Source organism: Homo sapiens, chromosome 12, assembly GCF_000001405.40.
Source record: "Homo sapiens chromosome 12, GRCh38.p14 Primary Assembly".
Classification (NCBI taxonomy): domain Eukaryota; kingdom Metazoa; phylum Chordata; class Mammalia; order Primates; family Hominidae; genus Homo; species Homo sapiens.
In genome coordinates, this window is record NC_000012.12 from 7,725,148 (window position 1) to 7,749,552 (window position 24,405).

The window sequence follows — 24,405 nt, forward strand, 5'->3', positions numbered from 1 at the left end:
TTCCTCAATCAAACAAGCTTTATGTATATAACTTTAGGTTTCATGCTTCAATATTACATTATAACTTAGGTATCTTGAAATAAATGAAATAGAATTCAATGAAATTCTGATTAATCTTTCTACTCTTGTATACTTTCTGTCAAAAGTTACTGTAAGGGCTGGGCGTAGGATTACAGACTCATGCCTGTAATCCTAGCACTTTGGAAGGCTGAGGAGGTCGGATCACTTGAGGCCAGGAGTTTGAGACCAACCTGGCTAACGTGGTGAAACACCGTCTCTACTAAAAATATAAAAATTAGTTGGGCATGGTGACATGTGCCTGTAGTCCCAGCTACTCGGGAGGCTAAGGCACAAGAATTTCTTGAACCCGGGAGGCAGAGGTTGCAGTGAGCTAAGATGGTGCCACTGTATTCCAGCCTGTGTGACAGAGCCAGACTCTGTCTCAAACCAACAAACAAAAAGTTACTGTAATATGCTGAATGGCCCTCAGATATGCCCACACTCTAATCTCCAGAGCCTGCAAATGTTACCTTATATGGCAAAAAGGACTTTGTAAATGTGATTATTTTAAAGATCTTGAGTCTGGGAGATTGTCAGGATTGTCCAAGGGGGCCCGGTGTAATCACAATGATCCTTATGAGAGGGACACAGGAGAAGTCAGAGTTAGAGAAGACAGTGTGATCACAGAAGCAGAGATTTTGGAGAGGCGCTCTCTGAAGGCAGATGAAGTGGCCACAAGCCAAGGAATATAGGTGGCCACTAGAAGCTGGAAAAGTCAAGGAAGCAGATTTTTCTCTCACAGCCTGCAGAAGGAACTAGCCCTGCTGCCTCCCTGACTTCAGAGAACTGGGTCTCAGTTTGGACTTCTGACCTCCAGAACTATAAAAAAAATTAACTTGTGGCCAGGCACAGTGGCCCACACTGTAATCCCAGCACTTTGCGGGGCCGAGGCAGGTAGATGGCTTGTACCCAGGAGTTCGAGACCAGCTTGGGCAACATGGCGAAACCCCATCTCTGCCAAAAATACAAAATAGCTGGGCACGTTGGTGCATGCCAGTCCTAGCTACTTGGGAGGCTGAGGTTGCAGAGCTGAGATCATGCCACTACACTCCAACCCGGGTGAGAGTGAGTCCGTCTCAAAGAAAAAAATAATTTGTGTTGTTCTAAGCCATTTTGCGTTGATTTGTTACAGCAGGAACAGGAAACTAATGTGGCTATCAAATGTAATTTTCCCATCTGCTCAGGAGGTGTCCACCTCATAGTGCTGAGCTTGTGTATGAAATGATATTGCACAACAGCAAATGTAGATCAGGGGTTCTCAATCCCAGAAACTTAAACATGAGGATATCTGGGGTGAGGCATTTTTTAAAAAGCTCCCTAGGATTCTGATTATAATCTGCAAGCAAGGCTTAAAACTACTCATAGGGATGGGCAAATGAGAGGAATTGGTTAAGTTGATTTGTAAGAGTTAAACTGATAAATTCTACCTACAGTGGTTAAGGTGAGGTCAGATCTTTCTGGCTTTTTGTTTTTTTCTTTTGAGATGAAGTTTCGCTCTGTTGCCTGGGCTGGAGTGCAATGGCGTGATCTCGGCTCACTGTAACCTCTGCCTCCCAGGTTCAAGCGATTCTCCTGCTTCAGCCTCCTGAGTAGCTGGGATTATAGGCACCCGCCACCATGCCTGGCAAATTTTTTTGTATTTTTAGTAGAGAGGAGGTTTCACTGTGTTGGCCAGGCTGGTCTCAAACTCCTGACCTCAAGTGGTCCACCTGCCTCGGGCTTCCAAAGTGCTGGGAATACAAGTGTGAGCCACTGCACCCGGCCAAGTTCAGCTCTTTCAAAATAGCCCATCCTAAAGGAGAGTGAAGAAATCAGTGGCCGAAGAAATGAAATGATTCTGTTGCATCAAGATGATCAGGGCACAATCTCAGAAAGTTGGAAGTCATATTGGGAAAATCTACAAAAGTAGTCATGGATGGAACCAGCTTTATTGTAATTCTGATCACTATACCAGAGCAATGCATTACTCTGATGTAAATATGATGTATTTTTACTATACTAGAAATAAAGTGACCTGTGGGAACTTCAGTAAAAAGAATAAGAACAAATCGGGGAACATTTGAGGTGGCAATCCATACACAGAAACTTTGAACCAAAGAAAAACTTATTGGGGGCCAGGCGCGGTGGCTCACGCCTGTAATCTCAGCACTTTGGGAGGCCGAGGCGGGTGGATCATGAGATCAGGAGTTCAAGACCAGCCTGGCCAAGATGGTGAAACCCTGTCTCTACTAAAAAAAAAAAAAAAAAATAGAAAAAATTAGCCGGGTGTGGTGGCGCAGGCCTGTAGTCCCAGCTACTTGGGAGGCTGAGGCAGGAGAATCGCTTGAACACAGGAGGCAGAGGTTTCAGCGAGCCGAGATCGTGCCATTGCACTTCAACCTGGGTGACAAGAGCGAAACTCCGTCTAAAAAAAAAGAAAAAGAAAAAAACTTATTGGGATATGAGGACAAGGAATATAATTCTGTTTGCCAGCTAACCAGGAGAATAATCATCTCTAATCTCCCTCTCTGTGCACCTTGAGGTGAGGTGCCAGCCCAAGACTGAACGAATATCAAGAAGCCCAAGTAATTTATTGGACCTAAGCAAGAACACTGCCTTCTTTGGATATCTTGTGTTCTTGTGTATCTTGCTGCATAGTCTGCTTTCAGCTAAAAGTAATAAATCAGAACGAAATGGAAAACCTTTTGACCAAACACAGAAAGTACATCAAATACTGACATCAGTACTGCATGATTGGTTTGCTAGGGCTGTTATAATAAAATGGCACAGACTGCGTTACTTAAACAGCAAATACTTATTTCCTCTCAATTGTGGAGGCTGGAAGTCCAATATCAAGGTGTCAGCAGGGTTGGTGTCTTCTGAGGACTCTCTCCTTGGCTTGCAGATGGCCACACTCTTGCTGTGTCTTCACATGGTCGGCCCTCTGTGTACGTACACCCCTGGTGTCTTTGTGTGTGTTCAAATATCCTTTTACTTATTTCTTTAATTTCTTTCTTGAGACAAGGTCTTATTCTGTCACTCAGGCTGGAGTGCAGTGGCGTGATTGTAGCTCACCGCAACCTCAAACTCAAGCGATCCTTCCACCTCAGCCCCCTGAGTAGCTGGGACTACAAACGTATGCCACCATACCTGGCTATTTTTTTTTTTTCCTTTTTTGAGACAGAGTTTTGCTTTTGTTGCCCAGGCTGGAATGCAATGGCGTGATCTCGGCTCACTGCAACCTCCGCCTCCCAGGTTCAAGTGATTCTCCTGCTTCAGCCTCCTGAGTAGCTGGGATTACAGGCATCCACCACCATGCCTGGCTAATTTTTGAGTTTTTTAGTAGAGACGGCGTTTCACCATGTTGGCCAGGCTGGTCTTGAACTCCTGACCTCGTGATCCACCCACCTCGGCCTCCCAAAGTGCTGGGATTACAGGCGTGAGCCACCGCACCCGGCCACCTGGCTAATTTTTTAACAAAAATTTTTGTAGAGATAGGGTCTTGCTATATTGCCCAGGCTGGTCTGGAACTCCTGGACACAAGGGATCCTCCTGCCTTGGCCTCCCAAAGTGCTGGGACTATAGGCATGAGCCACATTACCTGCCTGAATTTCCTCATAGGACATCAGTCAGATTGAATTAAGGCTCCTAATGTCCTCGTTTCAACTTAATTTCCTCTCATAAGGTTCTATCTCCAAATAGACTCCCATTCTGAAGTACTGTAGGTTACGGCTTCAACATACGAATTTGAGGGGACACAATTCAGCCCATAACAGGCACTTCACCCGTCAGCTGTCGGAAAATAAGAGCAGATGTGGCCGGGCGCAGTGGCTCACGCCTGGAATCCCAGCACTTTGGGAGGCTGAGGTGGGTGGATCACAAGGTCAGGAGATCGAGACCATCCTGGCTAACACAGTGCAGTGAAACCCCGTCTCTACTAAAAAATACAAAAAATTAGCCAGGCGTGGTGGCAGGCACCTGTAGTCCCAGCTACTGGGGAGGCTGAGGCAGGAGAATGGCGTGAACCCGGGAGGCGGAGCTGGCAGTGAGCCGAGATCGTGCCACTGCACTCCAGCCTGGGCGACAGAGTAAGACTCCGTCTCAAAAAAAAAAGAAAAGAAAAGAAGAGCAGATGCTCATGCTCCCTCTGTTTTTCTGCAAAAGCATTCTCCAGCAGTCTCTGGCACATAGAAAAATGTTCACTAAACACTCATTTTATGAATGAATAAATGAATAAATGAATAAATGAATGTGTGAATGGATTATATCATAAGTGTAATAGGTGACAGCCTGCTGAAACATTTTAGGGGCATTCCTTGTACAAAACTTACACATAAATTAAAAAATCAATTTAGCTTTCTACAACGGTGGATGCCAACCCAAACACATTTCCAGGGAGAATATTTCATTTATATGTAGATCTTCTTCATCTTGCAAATTGACTTCTGAGGTACATGACAGTGAATGTCATTCCAGCCCCATTCTTCTGAAGAACGGAAATTTATTATCGCACAACGCTCATCAAGGTTATTGGGTTCACCTGAGTGCCAGAATCTGAAAGGTAGATAAAGGACAGTGGTGTTTTGAAACCGTGGTTTGGAAAAGGTTAGAGACTGGGAGAGGGCTAGGGTTAAACAGTGCGAAAGTCAAGGTCACGTCTACCCAAACCACCTTCTCACTTCTGCTGCCACGTTTTGTAAAACCTCATGTTCAGGCAGTTTCCTCTCCACTTGTGTCTCTGGTATTTCCCCTGAAAACTGTTCCCATATGACCTAGTACTCTGTCATCTTAATCAACTCAAGCATATGTTGAACATCCTACTGGCAGATGTCCAAGAGGATTCCTTCAGTTTAGCCATCCCTATGTCCAATTGCCATAGAAATTCCAACTCACAGAGTTAAATGATTCAAATATTTTTTTTCCCTAGTCACAAGTATTAATCAGGTTCTATGCACTGCTTTTGGAGTCTGAAGAACTAGGTAAATTCCCTGGATCTGCTACTTAGTCTCTGTTATTTAGTGCAAGTAATTTAATTTCCCTGATTCTCAGTTCTTCTATCTGAAAAAATGGGAACTAGAACAATGTCCTTACGTATTTGACATAGTTGATACAAATGTTAAAAGTGGTAATCTGTACTAAAGTGCTTTAAAATTTGTAAAGAAATACATAAATGGCCGGGGATGGTGGCTCACACCTGTAATCTCAGCACTTTGGGAGGCCAAGGCAGGTGGATCACTTGAGGTCAGGAGTTTGAGACCAGCCTGGCCAACATGGTGAAACCCATCTCTACTAAAATTACAAAAATTAGCTGCGTGTGGTGGCACATGCCTGTAATCCCAGCTACTCAGGAGACTGAGGCAGGAGAATCACTTGAACCCAGGAGGCAGAGGTTGCAGTGAGCCAAGATCATACCACTGCACTCTAGCCTGGGTGATGGAGTGAGACTCTTGTCTAAAAAAAAAAAAAAAAAAGCACAACCCTTGATGTCAAATAGACCTAGGTTTTAAAAAGTGTTGTGGGTTTTATTGTTTGTTTGCTTAATAGCTGATGGAACACCCTAAACCCCTACATGATCAGGACCCAGTGTCCTTTACCTCATTCTATACTCACGTGACATTTTCATTGTATGGTGTCTGGTCAACCCATTGCCAATGTCGCCGACCCCCTGGATCTGACAGCCCCAGAAAATAAGAAGAATTTCTTTTCAGATTCTGAATGATGAAATCCTGAGGGAAGAAAATGGAAGAGTCATAGCTGATAGAGCAGGAGCACCCTCATCTGGGACGAACACCGCCACTTTAAGTTCCAGCTCCCTTTCTAGCCTCATGCATTTCAAGGAAATCACTTCTCTTCTAACTACAAGCAGACAGAAAGAGCAGACAGCAAAACACAGATAAGACAGCTCAGGCACATAGGGAGGTGGAGGAAAAGTCTCTTGGGTAACTGCCAAACTTCACCCTCATACAATGGACCCCAGTAAAACAGTGGGCCTTAATAAGCACATTCCTTTCCCTTCAGGTGCACTAAGATAGGAAAGCTAAAGGCAGACTGGGGGGATATGCCTGCAGCTGCACAAAGATGTATGGGAACAGACATACAACTCTCCCTCCCAGATAAGCACAACAAAGAGACACAGAAGCAGTCCAAGCCTCTGATAAACTCTCCCACCCTGAATCCTTAAAAACTCTTGGTCTGTAAGAGAGTGGGCCTCTGATCTAACTCAGCCAGAAGCTCCTCTCAGGTTTATTTTCTCTAAAATAATTCTCTAAAATAGACTGGCAAGCCACCTTTCGTATTTCTTTCCTCTTTCTTTAATTCTTACAATAGCCTTTAGGGGACTCAAGTTGAACTGAGTTCTTACCGCCATAGGAAGAAAAGAATAAAAGGAGAAGACCCAGGAGTAGCCACAAAGGGCCCCTGTCCAGCAGCAGAGGCCTCTGGCTGAGCAGGGCTGGATCAAAGACATCACTTGTGAGCATGATGTTTGGCACGTACAGGAGCACGCTCTAGCCATGGCCATCATAAATCCTCATGTCACACTTGCTTTCCTATTTCTTTGCTAAGTGACAGCATTCTTCAAGACTCTGCATGTAGTGAGGAAATTCTCCCTCACTCCTAATATATTCTTCTTGTAAAGGGAGTCTGTAATCTCAACTACTCGAGTGGCTGAGGCATGAGAATCGCCTGAACCTGGGAAGTAGAAGCTGCAGTGAGCCGAGCTCACGTTATTGCACTCTAGCATGGGTGACAGAATGAGACTCTGTGTCCAAAAAATGCAAACCCACCCCCTGCCCAAAAATAAAAAACAACTTTGCATGAACACTCCAAATGCTTCAGGTCACTTTTTTTTCTTTCTTTTTTTAGACAGAGTCTTACTCTGTTACCCAGGCTGGAGTGCAGTGGCACGATCTCGGGTCACTGCAACCTCTGCCTCCCGGGTTCAAGTGAGTATCCTGCCGCAGCCTCCTAAGTAGCTGGGATAACAGGCATGCAACATCATGCCTGGTTAATTTTTGTATTTTTAGTAGAGACGGGGTTTCACCATGTTGGCCAGGCTGGTCTCAAACTCGTGACCTCAGTTGATTTGCCTGCCTAGGCCTCCCAAAGTGCTGGGATTACAGGCGTGAGCCATGATGTCCAGCCACAGGTCACTTTATTTTTTTATTTTTTTTATTTATTTTTTTGAGATGGAGTCTCACTCTGTCGCCAGGCTGGAGTGCAGTGGTGTGATCTCGGCTCACTGCAACCTCCAAATCCCTGGTTCAAGCGGTTCTTCTGCCTCAGGCTCCAGAGTAGCTGGGATTACACGCACGAGCCACCATGCCCAGCTAATTTTTTTGTATTTTTAGTAGAGATGGGGTTTCACCATGTTGGCCAGGATGGTCTCGATCTCCTGACCTTGTGATCCACCCTCCTCGGCCTTCCAAAGTGCTGGGATTACAGGCGTGAGCCACCGTGCCCGACCACAGGTCACTTTAAAATAAAGATATTTATGGCCAGGTGTGGTGGTTCACGCCTATAATCCAAGCATTTTGGGAGGCTGAGGATGGCGGATCACGAGGTCAGGAGATCAAGACCATACTGGCTAACATGGTGAAACCCCGTCTCTACCAAAATACAAAAAATTAGCCGGGCATGGTGGCAGGCAGCTACTCAGGAGGCTGAGGCAGGAGAATGGCATGAACCCAGGAGGCGGAGCTGCAGTGAGCGGAGATCGCGCCACTGCACTCCAGTCTCGGCGACAGAGGGACAGAGCAACATTCTGTCTCAAAAAATAAAATAAAGATATTTATAATAGTAGTAGTTAAAATTAGTCATTGTCTACTATATGCCAAGTATTATGCCATGAGTTTGCATAAGTTACTTCACGTAAATTTTACAACTACTACTGTGAGGAAGATAGTGTGGCTGTCTCCATTTTACTAAGTCTCAGGAAACAGATTTAGAAAGATAAAGTTGTCAAACGTCACACAACTAATAAATAACAGAGATCTAACTCTAGAGCCAGTATTCTTAACCAGTACATGTTCTGTGTTACAAGAAAGATAGAGGTCTATAATCAAATTTTAGAAAGCCAAATTTTTTTTTTTTTTTGGAGGTGGAGTCTTGGTCTGTTGCCAAGGCTGGAGTGCAATGGTGTGATCTCGGCTCAGGGCAACCTTTGCTTTCTGGGTTCAAGCAATTCTCATGCCTCAGCCTCCTGAGTAACTGGGACTACAGGTGTATGCCACCACACCTGGCTAATTTTTGTATTTTTAGTAGAGATGGAGTTTCACCATGTTGACCAAGCTGGTCTTTTTTTTTTTTTTTTTTGAGACTGAGTCTTGCTCTGTCGCCCAGGCTAGAGTGCAGTGGCGAGATCTTGGCTCACTGCAAGCTCCGCCTCCTGGGTTCACGCCATTCTCCTGCCTCAGCCTCCCGAGTAGCTGGAACTACAGGCTCCCGCCACCATGCCCTGCTAATTTTTTGTATTTTTAGTAGAGACGGGGTTTCACCATATTAGCCAGGATGGTCTCAATCTCCTGACCTTGTGATCCAGCTGCCTCAGCCTCCCAAAGTGCTGGGATTACAGGCGTGAGCCACCGCACCTGGCCCCCAAGCTGGTCTTGAACTCCTGGCCTCAAGTGATCTGCCCACCTTCGCCTCCCAACATGCTGAGATTACAGGCGTGAGCCACCACACCCAGCCGTCATATATTTTGTTTTGTTTTACTTGTTTCTTTTTGAGATGGAGTCTTGCTCTCTCACCCAGGCTGGAGTGCAGTGGTATGATCTCGGCTCACTGCAACCTCTACCTCCCAGATTCAAGCAATTCTTCTGCCTCAGCCACCCAAGTATCCGGGACTACAGGCATGAAACACGTCGCCAGGCCTCAAATAATGTTGTACAAACAAGAAAAGATATTTTGACATAGGTTTTCAGATTATTTTGAATGTACATGAACATATACGAGACATTGTTAGTGGTTTGTGTGCTTCCCTCCCTCTCCGCCATATCAATTTATCTATTCATTCATTCATTGAACATTCAAGCAGTCTATTGTCTGCCCAGACCCTGTGCTAAATGTGGCATAAGAAGTCAAAACAAATAAAAGTTTACAACATGGCTGGGGAGACAGGATGAACAGCACTTTTGAAAACTTTGTACGGTTAGGCAAAAATTAGAGTCCAGAGCCAAGAAAGAGGTAAGGGTAAATAGGCAGTAAATCAGACCTCATATAGATTATGATCTGGCTTTGAATCATTTGGATATTGTAGAAATTTCAAGCCCTGAAATTGCCATAATGTACTGTAGGACTTGTGCCAAGGCATGTGGCAAAAGCAAATGAAAATACTCTTTGGAAGAGAATAATATCTGAGGCCTCCAATTTTTTTTTTTTTTTTGAGACAGTTTTGCTTTTTCACCCAGACTGGAACGAAGTGGCATGATCTTGGCTCACTGCAACCTCTGCCCCCTGGGTTCAAGTGATTCTCCTGCCTCAGCCTCCCGAGTAACTGTGATTACAGGCATGTGCCACCATGCCGAGCTAATTTTTGTATTTTTAGTAGAGAAGGGTTTCGCCATGTTGGCCAGGCTGGTCTCAAACTCCTGACCTGAGGTGATCCACCCGCCTCAGCCTCCCAAAGTGCTAGGATTACAAGCATGAGCCACCGTGCCTGGCCTCCAATTATTTTTATAAATAATTTTTCAAGTACAACATCCATCACACAAGGATAATTTGAAACATTCCATAGGCCAGGCATGGTGTCTCAGGCCTATAACCCCAGCACTTTGGGAGACCGAGGCAGGCTGATCACTTGAGGCCAGGAGTTTGAGACTAGCCTGGACAACATGGTGTAACCCTGTCTCTACTAAAAATACAAAAATTAGCCAGGAGCGGTGGCATGCACCTGTAATCCCAGCTGGTCAGGAGGCTGAGTCAGAAGAATCACTTGAACACAGAAGTCAGAGGTTGCAGTGAGCCGAGATCACACCACTGCACTCCAGCCTGGGGTGACAGAGAGAGACTCTGTCTCAAAAAAATAAAAAAAGAAGATCTGGGCACAGTGGCCCACACCTGTAATCCCAGCAATTTGGGAGGCTGGGGCAGGTAGATCACCTGAGGTCAGGAGTTCGAGACTAGCCTGGCCAACATGGTAAAACCTCATCTTTACTAAAAATACAAAAATTAGCTGGGCGTGGTTGCAGGCGCCTGTAATCCCAGCTATTCAGGAGGCTGAGACAGGAGAATCGCTTGAACCCAGGAAGCAGAGGTTGCAGTAAGCAGAGATCTTGCCACTGCACTCCAGCCTGGGCGATAGAACAAGACTCTGTCTCAAAGAAAAAAAAAAAAAAAAACGGCCAGGCACGGTGGCTCACGCCTGTAATCCCAGCACTTTGGGAGACCGAGGCAGGCAGATCACGAGGTCAGGAGTTTGAGACTAGCCTGGCCAATATGGTGAAACCCCGTCTCTACTAAAAATACAAAAATTAGCCAGGTGTGGTGGTGGTCGCCTGTAATCCCAGCTACTCGGGAGACAGAGAGGAGAATCGCTTGAACGCAGGAGGTGGAGGTTGCAGTGAGCTGAGATCGAGCCACTGCACTCCAGCCTGGCGACAGAGCAAGACTCCATCTCAAAAAAAAGAAAAAAAAAGCAAAAACCAGTAACAGCAAAAAAACAAGCTTAAGTGTTGAACATTATAAAGTTTGACAGCATATTTGAAAGAGAAGCAAGATCAATTCTAGATTTGAAAAATACAATAATTGAATTTAGATGTTAATATATGGCTTTAATAGCAGGATAGACATAGTTGAAGAAGATTAGTCAAGTGGGAGGGCCAGGTGTGGTGGCTCACGCCTGTAATCCCAGAACTTTGGGAGGCCGAGGTGGGTGGATCACGAGGTCAGGAGTTCAAGACCAGCCTGGCCAACATGGTGAAACCCCCGTCTCTACTAAAAATACAAAAATTAGCTGGGTGTGGTGGCACGCACCTGGAGTCCCAGTTACTCGGGAAGCTGAGGCAGGAGAATCGCTTGAACCTGGGAGGCGGAGGTTGCAGTGAGCCAAGACCGTGCCATTGCACTCCAGCCTGGGCGCCATTGCACTCCAGCCTGGGCAACAGAGTGAGACTCTGTCTCAAAAACAAAAAGAAGATTAGTGAACTGGAATAGAAGGACAGAAGAAACTGTTTAAAATCAAGTACAAAGAGAAAAATAGATGGAAAATGTTGAAAAGAAGGTAAGAAATGCAGAGGATACAGTATGAAGGACTAATGTTTAATTGGTTGACATTTCTTAGATGGCAAATATTAATATCATTTTTCCATTTTTCAAATTCACTATTTTATTTGCCTGAATTTTTTTTCTTATATTTTTAAAATTAAAATTCTTCAGGATCAAATTTCAACATCAATGTTTGCCTGAAGTTTGCTCCGGAATTTGTTTTATTAAAGTTATTGTTAGCCAGACGTGGTGGCTCACACCTGTAATCCCAGCACTTTGGGAGGCCGAGACGGGCAGATCACGAGGTCAGGAGATCCAGACCATCCTGGCTAACACAGTGAAACCCCATCTCTACTAAAAATACAAAAAAATTAGCCGGGCGTGGTGGCAGGTGCCTGTAGTCCCAGCTACTTGGGAGGCAGGAGAATGGTGTGAACCCGGGAGGCTGAGCTTGCAGTGAGCTGAGATTGTGCCACTGCACTCCAGCCTGGGCAACAGAGCAAGACTCCGTCTCAAAATAAATAAATAAATAAATAAAAATAAAAAATAAAGTTATTGTTGGCCACACATGGTGGCTCACGCCTATAATCCCAACACTTTGAGAGGCCGAGGCAGGTGGATCATTTGAGGTCAGTAGTTCAAGATCAGCCTGACTAACATGGTGAAACCTCGTCTCTTCTAAAAATACAAAAATTAGCCAGGCGTGGCGGTACATGCCTATCCTCCCAGCTACTTGGGAGGCTGAGGCAGGAGAATCACTTGACCCCGGGAGGCGGAGGCTGCAGGGAGCTGAGATCGTGCCATTACACTCCAGCTTGGGTGACAAAAGGAGACAGTCCCCCCAAAAAAAATAAAAATAAAAGTCATTTTTGAGTGTTCCAGATTAAGGAGATTTTCCTGTGTTTTTTGTTTTTTGGGTTTTTTTTTACCCAGAAGTTTTTTTTTTTTTCCTGTCTTTGAACTTTCAGGGCAATAAAAAGACTCTTTATCAGTTAAGAAAGGAAACAGATTAGCTGACCACCTTGCCTGTTAGAACATACCTGTTCTTCCCTGGTGTTGATCACCACCAGATCAGCCCCCATCACAGAACAGTTCTTTTGACTCTTAGTCCAAGATTGCATCCCAGTAGAAATAAAGTAGCAACTAGACTGAAATGAAGTCCAAGGGGTTGGGCAGCAGCTCCAATCTTCCCAAATGAGTATAGAAGAAGAAAAAATATTAACAGAGAATTCTCCTCACATAAAGTTATAAGCTTAGCTTGCTAAGGTTTAATTAGTTTTCACCTATGGATCTCCACGGATTTTCCAAAGCTGAACTCATTTACTGGTGTATTTACTAATCCCTAGATCATTTCACTCTATACAGGGACCAGCAAACTTCCTGCAAAAGGCCAGATAGTAAATATCTCAGGCTTTTTGGGCCATACGGTTTCTGTTGCAACTGCTTAACTCTGCTACTGCAGTACGAAAGCAACCACTGGCAATATGTTACCAAAGAAAAAAAAAAGAACATGAGTATGGCAATAAAATGCCATTTACAAAACTAGGCAGCTTGTTGAGTTTGGCCCATGCCTTAGTTTTCCAGGCCCTGCTTTAAACCCACAAAAATGATCTGAAAGACAAATACTTTAACTTCAGGTTCTCATCATTCATTGGTGGTCATATATGAACCATGTCCACATCTTTAGCAAAAATAAGCTTCGCAATGTTATATTTGTCACTAATAATTATAGATATAAATATCATTTAGAGTTTAGCATCCCATTATAAAGAATGAGTCCAGAGTAAGACATATCTGGGTTGCAACCTCATTTTCTGTGCTGTAATTTTGGGAAAATTATATAACCACTCTAAGCCTTAAATATTTTTCTTTTCGTTTGTAAATGGGAATATTTCTCACTCAGAATGTTGAGAGGTTGAGGTGACATAATACATGCAAAACACTTAAGAGCAGTACGTGCTGAAAAATATCCATCTCTCCTCCTTCGAAGCACCAGTTTCTTCCACTGTCAGCACAAACGAGATTATATACATTCCCTCTAACAAACAGTGACAATGTAGACCATATCAAAATGTTTTTCTTTATATTTTGACATACATTATACCAAAATAAATATTTAAAAATTTTTTTAGAGACAGGATCATGCTTTGTCATCTAAGCTGGAGTGCAGTGGCATAACCATGGCTCACTGCAGCCTTGACCTGGATTCAAGTGATCCTCCCACCTCAGCCTCCCAAGTAGCTGGAACCACAGGGGCACGCCACCACACCCAGCTAATTTTTTTTGTATTATTTGTAGAGACAGAGTCTTGCTTCGTTGCCCAGGCTGATCTGGAACTCCTGGGATCAAGTGATCCACTGGCCTCAGCTGCCCTGAAGTGCTGGAATTACAGGCATGAGCCACTGAGCCTGGCCTCCTATGATAGTTTTGTTTTGTTTTTAATTATACTTTAAGTTCTAGGGTACATGTGCACAACGTGCAGGTTACATATGTATACATGTGCCACTTTGGTGTGCTGCACCCATTAACTCGTCATTTATGTTAGGTATATCTCCTAATGCTATCCCTCCCCCCTCCCCACCCCACAACAGGCCCCAGTGTGTGATGTTCCCCACCCTGTGTCCAAGTGTTCTCATTGTTCGATTCCCACCAGTAGTTTTGAAAAAGAAACTCTTGTCATCTTTTTACCTCTCACAGTTTTTCCCTATAAGTAAAGAATGAATTATTTCATTCTTTTTTTTTGAGATGGCATCTCGCTCTGTCGCCCAGGCTGGAGTGCAGTGGTGTGATCTCGGCTCACTGCAACCTTCGCCTCCCGGGTTCAAGCAATTCTCCTGCCTCAGCCTCCGGAGTAGCTGGGACTACAGGTGCCCGCCACCACGCCCAGCTACTTTTTATATTTTTAATAGAGACGGGGTTTCACCATGTTGGCCAGGATAGTCTCAATCTCTTGACCTCGTGATCCGCCCGCCTCGGCCTCCCAAAGTGCTGGGATTACAGGGGTGAGCCACCGCGCCTGGCCTGTTTCATTCTTGAAATAATTGTTTGATGCCCTTTGGGTCCATATTTCCTTCCTGCAAAGGATTAAGGCCATAGAGGCATTTCTGGGGTGGAACTTGTCTCCCTCCGGCTCTGCATACGACGCTGTAGGCAGTCCCTGATCCTGGACACAGCCGACCAATTATCCCTGAGGAGGTGAGTAGGCCTGGACTAGGGAGCAACAGTTTGGCCTCACTCTAGGCCATATTTCATGGTTTGATTTTACCATCAATAAAGCTGATAATTTTATTTTATTTATTATCTTTTTTTTAGACAGGGTCTCACTTTGTCACCCGGGCTGGAGTGCAGCAGTGTAATTGCTGCTTACTGTAGCCTCAACCTCCGGAGCTCAACTGATCCTCCCACCTCAGCCTCCAAAGTAGCTAGGACTATAGGCACATGCCACCATAGCTCGGTAATTTTTTTTTTTTTTTGAGATGGAGTTTCACTCTTATTGTCCAGGCTGGGACAATCTCAGCTCACCACAACCTCCACCTCCCAGGTTCAAGTGATTCTCCTGCCTCAGCCTCCCGAGTTGCTGGGATTACAGGCATGCGACACCACGCCCGGGTAATTTTGTATTTTTAATAGAGACAGGGTTTCTCCATGTTGGTTAGGCTGGTGTCGAACTCCTGACCCCAGGTGATCCACCCGCGTCGGCCTCCCAAAGTGCTGGGATTACAGGCATGAGCCACCGTGCTGCGCTTGGGTGATTTATTTTTAAGTATTTTGTAGAGTTGAGGTCCCATCTTGTTTCCCAGGCTGGTTTCAAGCTCCCGTGCTTAGGTGATTACCCCTCCTCAGCCTCCCAAAGCACTGGGATTACAGATGTGAGCCACTATGCCAGGCATAATTTTATTCTTATCTGAATCCTGTGTATATTTATTTTTCAGTTAATCCAGAACTGTATAGGGAGAGGGATATATTTACTGTTGAACTTAGTGATTAATTGGATGCAGGGGTGAAGATGATAAGCAAAGAAAAACTGCTGGCCAGGCACGGTGGCTCACGCCTGTAATCCCAGCACTTTGGGAGGCCGATGCGGGAGGATTGCCTGAGCTCAGGAGTTCACGACCAGCCTGGACAACAAGGTGAAACCCCGTCTCTACTAAAATACAAAAAAATTAGCCGGGCCTGGCAGCGTGTGCCTGTAGTCCCAGTTACTTGGGAGGCCGAGGCAGGAGAACTGCTTGAACCTGGGAGGCAGAGGTTGCAGTGAGCCGAGATCGCGCCACTGCACTCCAGCCTGGGCGACAGAGTGAGACTCCGTCTCAAAAAAGAAAAAAAAGAAAAGAAAGAAAAAAGAGAAAAAAACTGCTAAGAATGATTCTTGAGTTTTAGGCTTTAATATTGATGGGAGCAGGAGGAAGTGAGACAGTTCTGAGGACCCCTGTTTGATACTTTAATTTTGAGGTGTCTATTTTTTTTTTTGAGACGGAGTCTCGCTCTGTCACCCAGGCTGGAGTGCAGTGGCGCGATCTCGGCTCACTGCAAGCTCCACCTTCTGGGTTTACACCATTCTCCTGCCTCAGCCTCCCGAGTAGCTGGGACTACAGGCGCCTGCCACTGCACCCAGCTAATTTTTTGTATTTTTAGTAGGGACAGGGTTTCACCGTGGTCTCGATCTCCTGACCTCGTGATCCGCCCGCCTCGGCCTCCCAAAGCGCTGGGATTACAGGCTTGAGCCACCGCGCCCGGACTTTTTTTGCATTTTTAGTAGAGATGCGGTTTCTCCGCATGTTGGTCAGGCTGGTCTCAAACTCCAGACCCTCAGGTAATCCACCCACCTCGGCCTCCCAAAGTGTTGGGATTACAGGTGTGAGCCATTGGGCCCAGCCTGAGGTGTCTATTTAAGATACCAAGTAGATAGTTAAAGAATGCAGTAGGAAAAACCAGGCTGCAGTTGATAATTTTAGTGCTGAAGATATAAACCATCAGACTAGGAATTTGATTAATAGCAAGGGAAGTCTTGTTGCCCATTGCAGAGTTGTACCTTCTATGTCCTTTCCTTCCATGACGCAGGTCAGGCTTGGATGATACTGTTGATACTCTCGTAACTTGGACAGCCTCTTGACAGTTTTGCTATACATAAAATTGTGAGGCACTGGGAAAGAGAAATCGGAGTTAGTTCTCATTCTTTTAAGTGGATCTATGTTGTACTATACAATCTTATGCTGTGGACAGGCACAGTGACTCACGCCTGTAATCTCAGCACTTTAGGAGGCCGAGGTGGGAGGACCATTTGAGGTCGGGAGTTAGAGACCAGCCTGGCTAACATGGTGAAACCCCGTCTCCACCAAAAATATAAAAATTATCCAGGTGGCCAGGCACAGTGGCTCACACCTGTAATCCCAGCGCTTTGGGAGGCCGAGGCTGGTTGGATCACTTGAGGTCAGGAGTTTGACCAACATGGTGAAACCCCGTCTCTACTAAAAATACAAAAATTAGCTGGGTGTGGTGGCGGGCACCTATAATCCGAGCTACTTGGGAGGCTGAGGCAAGAGAATTGCTAGAACCCAGGAAGCAGAGGTTGCAGTGAGCCGAGACCGCGCCATTGCACTCCAGCCTGGACGACAGAGCAAGACTGTGTCTCAAAAAAACAATTAGCCAAGGGTGGTGGCAGGCGCCTGTAATTCCAGTTACTCAAGAGGCTGAGGCAGGAAAATCACTTGAACTTGGAAGACAGAGGTTGCAGTGAGCCGAGATCGTGCCATTGCACTCCAGCCTGGGTGACAAGAGTGCAACTCCATCTCAAAAAAATAAATAAATAAATAAATAAAAATAAAGAATCTTATGACTTTACGGCTGGGCATGGTGGCTCACACCTGTAATCCCAGTACTTTGGGAGGCCAAGGCGGGTGGATCACCTGAGGTCAGGAGTTCAAGCCCAGCCCAGCCAACATGGTGAAACCCTGTTTCTACTAAAAATACAAAAATTAGGTGGGCATGGTGGCACATGCCTGTAATCCCAGCTACAGGAGGCTGAGGCAGGAGAATCACTTGAACCTGGGAGGTGGAGGTTGCAGTGAGCAGAGACCGTGCCATTGCACTCTAGCCTGGGCAATAGAGCCAGACTTTGTCTCGAAAAAAAAAAAAAAAAGCCTGGGCACAGTGGCTCATGCTTGTAATCCCCAGCACTTTGGGAGGCCGAGGTGGGTGGATCATGAGGTCAGGAGTTTGAGACCAGCCTGACCGACATGGTGAAACCCCATCTCTACTAAAAATACAAAAATTAGCCAGGCGTGGTGACACGTGTCTATTAATCCCAGCTACTCAGGAGGCTGAGGCAGGAGAATCACTTCGACCTGGGAGGCGAAGGTTGCAGTGAGCCGAGATCGCACCACTGCACTCCAGCCTGGCAACAGAACGAGACTCCATCTCAAAAATAAATAAATAAATAAATAAATAAATAAATAAATAAATAAATAAACGTTATGCTCTTACAAAGTCTGCAACATCTCTCTCTTGCCCATCCCATTTCAAGCCGTACTGTTTTTTTCTCATGCTTCTTTCTGTGCAGGTCCAGTAAAAAATATGTTCTTAACCCTATCTTATATTCATTTATCTTGTTTGTTTATAAGTTTACATACGTATATATCTTGATTTCCCCCTACAATAACATACAGTCTAGTGAAGGAATTTCATTGTATTCACGCTATATACCCAGCACCTAGAAAAGTGGCCTGCTCATAGTAGGTGTTCAGTAAGCATTTGTTGACTTACTAGGTAACAGCATCTAATTCTATTAATCCTGAAATATCACAGGTCTTTTGGTTTTTCCATAGTTTTCTGATGGCTGTAACTGTAAGTAAACCATTTGGGTCAAATTAAATATAAGGTAAAACCTAACCCTTTGGAGACATTTAGACATCTTTTGCTAAAAACGGTCTCTTTTGTTCACTGGCAGGCACATAGAGCAAGATCTGACTTTTCACTTATCCTCACTTAATTCTTTTTTTTTTTTTTTCTTTTTTTGAGATGGAGTCTTGCTCTGTCGCCCAGGCTGGAGTGCAGTGGCGCGATCTTGGCTCACTGCAAGCTCCGCCTCCTGGGTTCATGCCATTCTCCTGCCTCAGCCTCCTGAGTAGCTGGCACTACAGGCGCCCGCCACCGCGCCCGGCTAATTTTTTTTGTATTTTTTTTTTAGTAGAGACAGGGTTTCACCATGGTCTCGATCTCCTGACCTCGTGATCCGTCCGCCTCGGCCTCCCAAAGTGAGCCACCACGCCCGGCCTTAATTCTTTATTCATGTATTTCATCATTCTGATTTTGAGACTAAACCTAGTCAAACTCTTCTATTTTCTCTGAATTTATGTCTTTAAGTTCTTGCATGTCTTCTTTCCTCTCAGATAATTAAATAACCATCTTGTATTAGTCCGTTTTTGCATTGCTATAAAGGAATACCTGAGACTTGGTATTTATAAAGAAAAGACATTTTACTGGCTCACAGTTCTGCAGACTGTACAGTAAGTATGGTGCCAGCATCTGCTCACCTTCTGGTGAGGCCTCAGGAAGCTTTCAGTCATAGTGGAAGGCAAAGCGGGAGCTGGCATATCACATGGCAAGAGAGGGTGCAAGAGAGAGTGAGGGGGAGGGGCTGATCTCACCCCAACTCAGAGCAAGAACTCACTTATTCCTTCGAGGAGGGTGCCAAGCCATTCATGAGGGATCCATCTGCATCACTCAAAACCTCCTGCCATGCCCCACCTCCAACAGTGGGGATTTCAAATTTCAAGTGATAGTTGTCCCTTCCAAATTTCAAATTTTCAACATGAGACTTGGAAGGGACAACTATCCCAACCATATCACATCTTTAAGCCCTTTTGTCTCTTGCCCTTTGTTATAAAAAGCAAAGCAAAGTTTAACTTTAGTAATAATTCTGCCTCTTGGGGTTACATTGAAAACTGTGAGATGTATTTACAACTAGAAAGAAACTGAAGACTGTATCATCAACACATTTTTACTTGACATAGGAAGTCATCGTATTCAGTAACTTCCTCACAGATGTTTCATTTCTGTTTCTAATCATAATATTAGATAATAGAGCACATTTTGACACCCAAATAGTAAACAAGAGAGTTGGGAAATTTCTCAGGTGTCACAAAAATATAAAACTTGGCAAAGGGAGTAGCAATTAAATAATAGTTTACTTTGTTTATTTTTCCATTGTATCACTGTATAAACATTTATTTTTATTTTTATTTTTTGAGACAGGGTCTCTCTGTCGCCCAGGCTGGATTGCAGTGGTACGATTATGGCTCACTGCAGCCTCAACTTCCTGGGCTCAAGCGATCCTCCTGCCTCAACCTCCTGAGTAGCTGGGACCACAGGCACATGCCACCATGCCAAGTTATATTTTTTATTTTTTATGGAGACAGGGTCTCATTCTGTTGCCCAGGCTGGTCTTGAACTCCTGTCCTCAAGCGATCCTCCCACCTGAGCCTCCCAAAGTGCTCACAGGTGTGAGCCACTGCCTGGCCATATGAACAATTTTTCCTGTCATGTTGGGAAGAATCTCACATGAAGATTAAAACCCCACAGTAATACAATTATAGCATCATAGAAAGAATAATAGTTATGTTCCCAATAGAGACTTTTTTAAAACAAAGGAGCAGATCAACTAGATGGTACCCACCATCAGCACACCCATCAAAGTGGAGTTATTGTTATAGAATGAATTGCGTCCTCCCCAAGTTCATATATGGAAGTCCCAAGCTCCAATTTGTGGTATTTGAAGATAGGGGCTTTGGGAGGAAATCAGGTTTAGATGAGGTTATGAGGGGGGGCTCTCATGGTGAGATGAATGCTCTTATAAGAAGAAACCGTGACGAGCTAGCACTCCCTCCATCATGTGAGGACACAGCAAGAGGGCATCAGCTGTAAGCCAGGAAGAGGGACCTCACCATACCCAACCATCCTGACATCCTCATGTCAGACTTCCAGCCTCCAGAACCATCAGAAAATAAATATCTGTTTTTTAACTCACTCAGTCTATGCTTTTTTTTTTTTTTTTTTTTTTTTTTGAGACAGAGTCTCACTCTGTCACCCAGGCTGGAGTGCAGTGGCGTGATCTCGGCTCACTGCAACCTCTGCCTCCTGGGTTCAACTGAGTCTCCTGCCTCAGCCTCCCAAGTAGCTGGGATTACAGGCGCGAGTCACTGCACCCAGCTAATTTTTGTATTTTTAGTAGAGACAGGGTTTCACTATATGGTCCAAGCTGGTCTTGAACTCCTGACCTCAGGTGATCTGCCTGCCTTGGCCTCCCGAAGTGCTGGGATTACAGGCATGAGCTACCACGCCTGGCCCAGTCTATGGTATTTTGTTATGGCAGCCCAAGCTGACCAAGACAGTTATGATCACATTTGAAAAATGCAACTAAAACCAGGCAAAGAAACCTGGAAGTACACACAATTATCCAGAATAATTAATAATAGTAATAACTCATTTTATTAGAAACATAGCCTTCTCAGTTAGGGTTGCCATTTTATGTCAAGAAAGGGGAACGTGGCCGGGCGCGGTGGCTCACACCTGTAATCCCAGCACTTTGGGAGGCCAAGGTGGGCGGATCACGAGGTCAGGAGATCGAAACCACCCTGGCTAACACAGTGAAAACCCGTCTCTACTAAAAATACAAAAAATTAGCCAGGCATGGTGGCGGGCACCTGTAGTCCCAGCTACTCGGGAGGCTGAGGCAGGCGAATGGCATGAACCCGGGAGGTGAGCTTGCAGTGAGCCGAGATCACGCCACTGCACTCCATCCTGGGCGACAGAGCGAGATTCCGTCTCAAAAAAAAAAAAAAAAAAAAGAAAAAAAAAGAAAGAGGAACGTGTTTCTTCAGGAAATTGATAAAATGTGATTGGGAAAAGGACCAAGAGATGACTGCACTCCAGCCAAGAACTTACCCACAGAACTCACAGTGAAACAGACACTGAGGAGCAAGATGGATACGACTGCCATGGACCAGACCTTCAACTGGAACCACCAGAGTCCTTTCTCTGTCAGATCAGCATGACAAATGCACAGTCATAATCCCCACTGCCAAAGAGCCAGGAAACCAGAGTCCCAAAAATCTTAGAATAATAAAGTCAGGCTATGATCAAAACTAATTAAAACAGAAAAAATGTGAAAGCAAAAAGAGATTATAGAAATTATCTCAGAACAAATGACCAGATAGTACCCTGGAACCCAAGACAAATCCAGGCAAAACTCTCAGAGTAAACTGTACTTTCCAATTCCTTACTCTCTTTTCCCTTGAATTGCACAGCCTTGGCCTCAAACTTCCAGGCTTAAGTGGTCCTCCTGCCTCAACCTCTGAGTAGCTGGGACTTTAGGCATTTGCCTGCATGCCTGGCCAAATTCATATTCCTTTAAGGCCTTCTAGGCCCGAGTTGTTTTTCTTTTTTTCTTTTTTTTGAGATGGAGTTTCACTCCTGTTGCCCAGGCTGGAGTGCAATGGCACGATCTCGGCTCACTGCAACCTCCGCCTCCCAGGTTCAAGTGATTCTCCTGCCTCAGCCTCCCAAGTAGCTGGGATTACAGGCATGTGCCACCACGCCTGGCTAATTTTCTATTTTTAGTAGAGACAGGGTTTCTCCATGTTGGTCAGGCTGGTCTCGAACTCCTGACCTCAGGTGCTCTGCCCACCTCGGCCTCCCAAAGTGCTGGATTACAGGCGTGAGCCACCGCGCCCGCCCGGCCTTTCTTTTTTTCTTTCATCTTTCCCTGATCCAAGTATCTTGGGTCCATACCTGTTTCCATACTGAAATTACTATTATTTATGAAAAGCTGTCTACTTCTTCTTCCAAAGTCATCCCTATCACCTCAATGCCTGTTTCCCACTCCATCCTGCTCCTACTACCTTCCCTAGAACTGAGAAGATGAGTGCTTACCTCGGTCTTGAGGCTCTTCTTCAGGCACCATTGTGTGTGCGCACACCCTTTGGACTTCCTCTATCAGGTGGGTGCAGAAGCTCTTGTATCACTTTCTCCAAAGATGTTACTTTCGGGGTGTGGTTCTTTCAAACAAGCCAAGCCCTTAGATCCTTCTTCGCCTACTCTTGCAAAGGAAGAGATGTGACTTAGGAGACTCTGCAGTGAGCTAAAGCTTTCAATTTAAAACATACATCATGTTCAGAAATAAGGAAACACAAACAAGGAAATCGAGAAATACATGAAAAACAGTTCATGGTTGCAGGTCTGATTGTCTTTTTTTTTTTTTTTTTTTTTTTTTTCTAGACAGGGTCTCACTCTGCCACCCAGGCTGGAGTATAGTGGTGCAATCTCAGCTCACTACTACCTCTGCCTCGCGGGTTCAAGCGATTCTCCTGCCTCAGCCTCCCGAGCAGCTGGGACTACAGGCATGTGCCACCATGCCCAGCTAATTTTTGTATTTTTAGTAGTGACAGGGTTTCATCATACTGGCCAGGCTTGTCTCGAACTCCTGACCTCCTGCCGTTGCACTCCAGCCTGGGCAACAAGAGCAAAACTCCATCTCCAAAAAAAAAAAAAAAAAAGCCTCTTTCATTTGTAAATTGCCCAGTCTCAGGTATGTCTTTATCAGCAGTATGAAAACGGACTAATACAGCCTCCCAAAGTCCTGGGGTTACCGTTGTGAGCCACCACGTGCCCGGCCACTGCTGAGTAATCTTAAATAGAGAAAATCCATTATAGCCTATGCTACTCAAATGGAGATGTTTGGTTGAAGGATGGTTACAACTACTGGTGAAATAGACACTGAGAAAGAAAGAACCTAGGTATTCCAGAATCTTCCCAGAGTTCAACTGAGATTTAATTGTAGAGTAGTGAGAAAAAAGTTTTGAGCTGGGCACGGTGGCTCATGCCTATAATCCCAGCACTTTGGGAAGCTGAGGTGGGCGGATCACGAGGTCAAGAGATCGAGACCATCCTGGCCAACATGGTGAAACCCCGTTTCTACTAAAAATACAAAAATTAGCCAGGTGTGGTGGTGCATGCCTGTAGTCCCAGCTACTCAGGAGGCTGAGGCAGGAAAATTGCTTGAACCCGGGAGGCGGAGCTTACAGTGAGCCGAGATCGTGCCACTGCACTCCACCCTGGGTGACAGAGCAAGACTCAGTCTCAAAAAAAAAAAAGTTTTGAGTTAGCAGCCATCCTTTGAGATATTTTAGGACCCAGACCAATGAGATCCTTTCTAAGCTGTATACTTGCTGAAACAACTTAAAGTCCTGTTTGGTCTCTTGTCTACCTCCCATTTACAGTTCCCTGAACCTCCCTCTGCCCCTGCCTCAGGGGTTCTCCCTGTTGCTTTCCTCTGTCTTGGATTAAAATGTAGAGTATGAGGGTATTCCTTTGAGTATACAATGCTGAGAAGAAAGGAGCAAAGGCAAAAATGAGAAAAATAATTTAAAATAGAACAAATTATAAAAGCAGAAAGAATGACAAATTATTTTCTCAGAAGAAAAGCAGAATTGCATGTAGGCCCAGCTCAGGTGACATCCCAGCAGAATGCTTTGAGTATGACCAGAGTATTGCAAAAGCTACAGCTGAAGAGGATAAATCTAGATAAGAATTGGTAGATGGTTTGCTCACTACTTCTTCCCCCGGTTGGTGAGGGAGGGAGTCCCAACCCAGGGTTATGGGTGGCTGGACACACAACACCCGACACTGGACAGATAAGACTGACAGCAGTTCAGCTGCATGTACTCACGGCCTGAGGCAGGAGGGCACCGCACACCATGCAGGGTCAGACAGAGGTTGCACTTGGGAGCAGGGTGACTGTGGGAGGCAGGATCTGCTGTAACAAGAGGGTGAGGTGGCCCCTTGGCTCTTGAGGGAGGATGGGATTGGCTTCTTTAAAGAATTTTGTGGCCAGGTGTAGTGGCTCGTGCCTATAATCTCAGCACTTTGGGAGGCTGAGGTGGGCGGATTGCTTCAGGCCAGGAGTTCAAGACTAGCCTGGCCAACATAGTGAAACCCCATCTCTACTAAAAATCCAAAAAATTAGCCAAGCATGGTGGCACACGTCTGTAATTTCGGCTACTCAGGAGGCTGAGGCACGAGAATCACTGGAATTTGGGAGGCAGGGATTGCAGTGAGCCGTAATCGTACCACTTCACTCCAGCCTGGGTGACAGAGTGAGATTCTGTG

General features: G+C 45.2%; 1 protein-coding gene across 5 annotated transcripts, besides 3 other annotated features; it reads right to left on the reverse strand.

Annotated features, from left to right (window-relative positions):
* Positions 1-4,235: 4,235 nt before the first annotated feature.
* On the reverse strand, positions 4,236-24,394 carry CLEC4C (C-type lectin domain family 4 member C). 5 transcript variants are annotated; one of them, XM_024448873.2, is made up of 7 exons: positions 23,966-24,394; positions 22,171-22,336; positions 21,184-21,276; positions 16,274-16,384; positions 12,282-12,427; positions 5,650-5,765; positions 4,236-4,593 (listed from the first exon to the last, which is right to left on the reverse strand). In XM_024448873.2, exons 2-7 carry the CDS (start codon positions 22,199-22,201, stop codon positions 4,449-4,451), a joined length of 642 nt encoding a protein of 213 aa, XP_024304641.1. In that variant the 5' UTR covers positions 22,202-22,336; positions 23,966-24,394; the 3' UTR covers positions 4,236-4,448. The 5 variants fall into 5 exon arrangements, with proteins under 5 accessions (XP_024304641.1, NP_001358320.1, NP_001358319.1 ...); NM_130441.3 differs by having other exon boundaries at positions 4,298-4,593; positions 22,171-22,331; NM_001371391.1 differs by lacking the exon at positions 16,274-16,384 and having other exon boundaries at positions 22,171-22,331.
* Positions 12,193-12,393: a silencer, noted in NCBI's record as "peak1561 fragment used in MPRA reporter construct". NCBI's record gives its function as "represses an SCP1 promoter by STARR-seq MPRAs in K562 erythroleukemia cells {active_cell/tissue: K562}" and the evidence as "EXISTENCE:reporter gene assay evidence [ECO:0000049][PMID:32103011]".
* Positions 24,004-24,083: an enhancer, noted in NCBI's record as "active region_5920". NCBI's record gives its function as "activates an Ori minimal core promoter by ATAC-STARR-seq in GM12878 lymphoblastoid cells {active_cell/tissue: GM12878}" and the evidence as "EXISTENCE:reporter gene assay evidence [ECO:0000049][PMID:35858748]".
* Positions 24,104-24,283: an enhancer, noted in NCBI's record as "active region_5921". NCBI's record gives its function as "activates an Ori minimal core promoter by ATAC-STARR-seq in GM12878 lymphoblastoid cells {active_cell/tissue: GM12878}" and the evidence as "EXISTENCE:reporter gene assay evidence [ECO:0000049][PMID:35858748]".

Bases quoted from the DNA above. Each gene is read 5' to 3' on its own strand.
- CLEC4C (XM_024448873.2), bottom strand. From the start codon at position 22,201: ATGGTGCCTGAAGAAGAGCCTCAAGACCGAG. The intron at 16,385-21,183 runs GTAAGTTCTTGG...TCTCTTTCCCAG, and splicing joins TTTCACTGTGAGTTCTGTGG to TGCCTCACAATTTTATGTAT. The intron at 4,594-5,649 runs GTGAGTATAGAA...TCTACCTTTCAG, and splicing joins CCATACAATGAAAATGTCAC to ATTCTGGCACTCAGGTGAAC.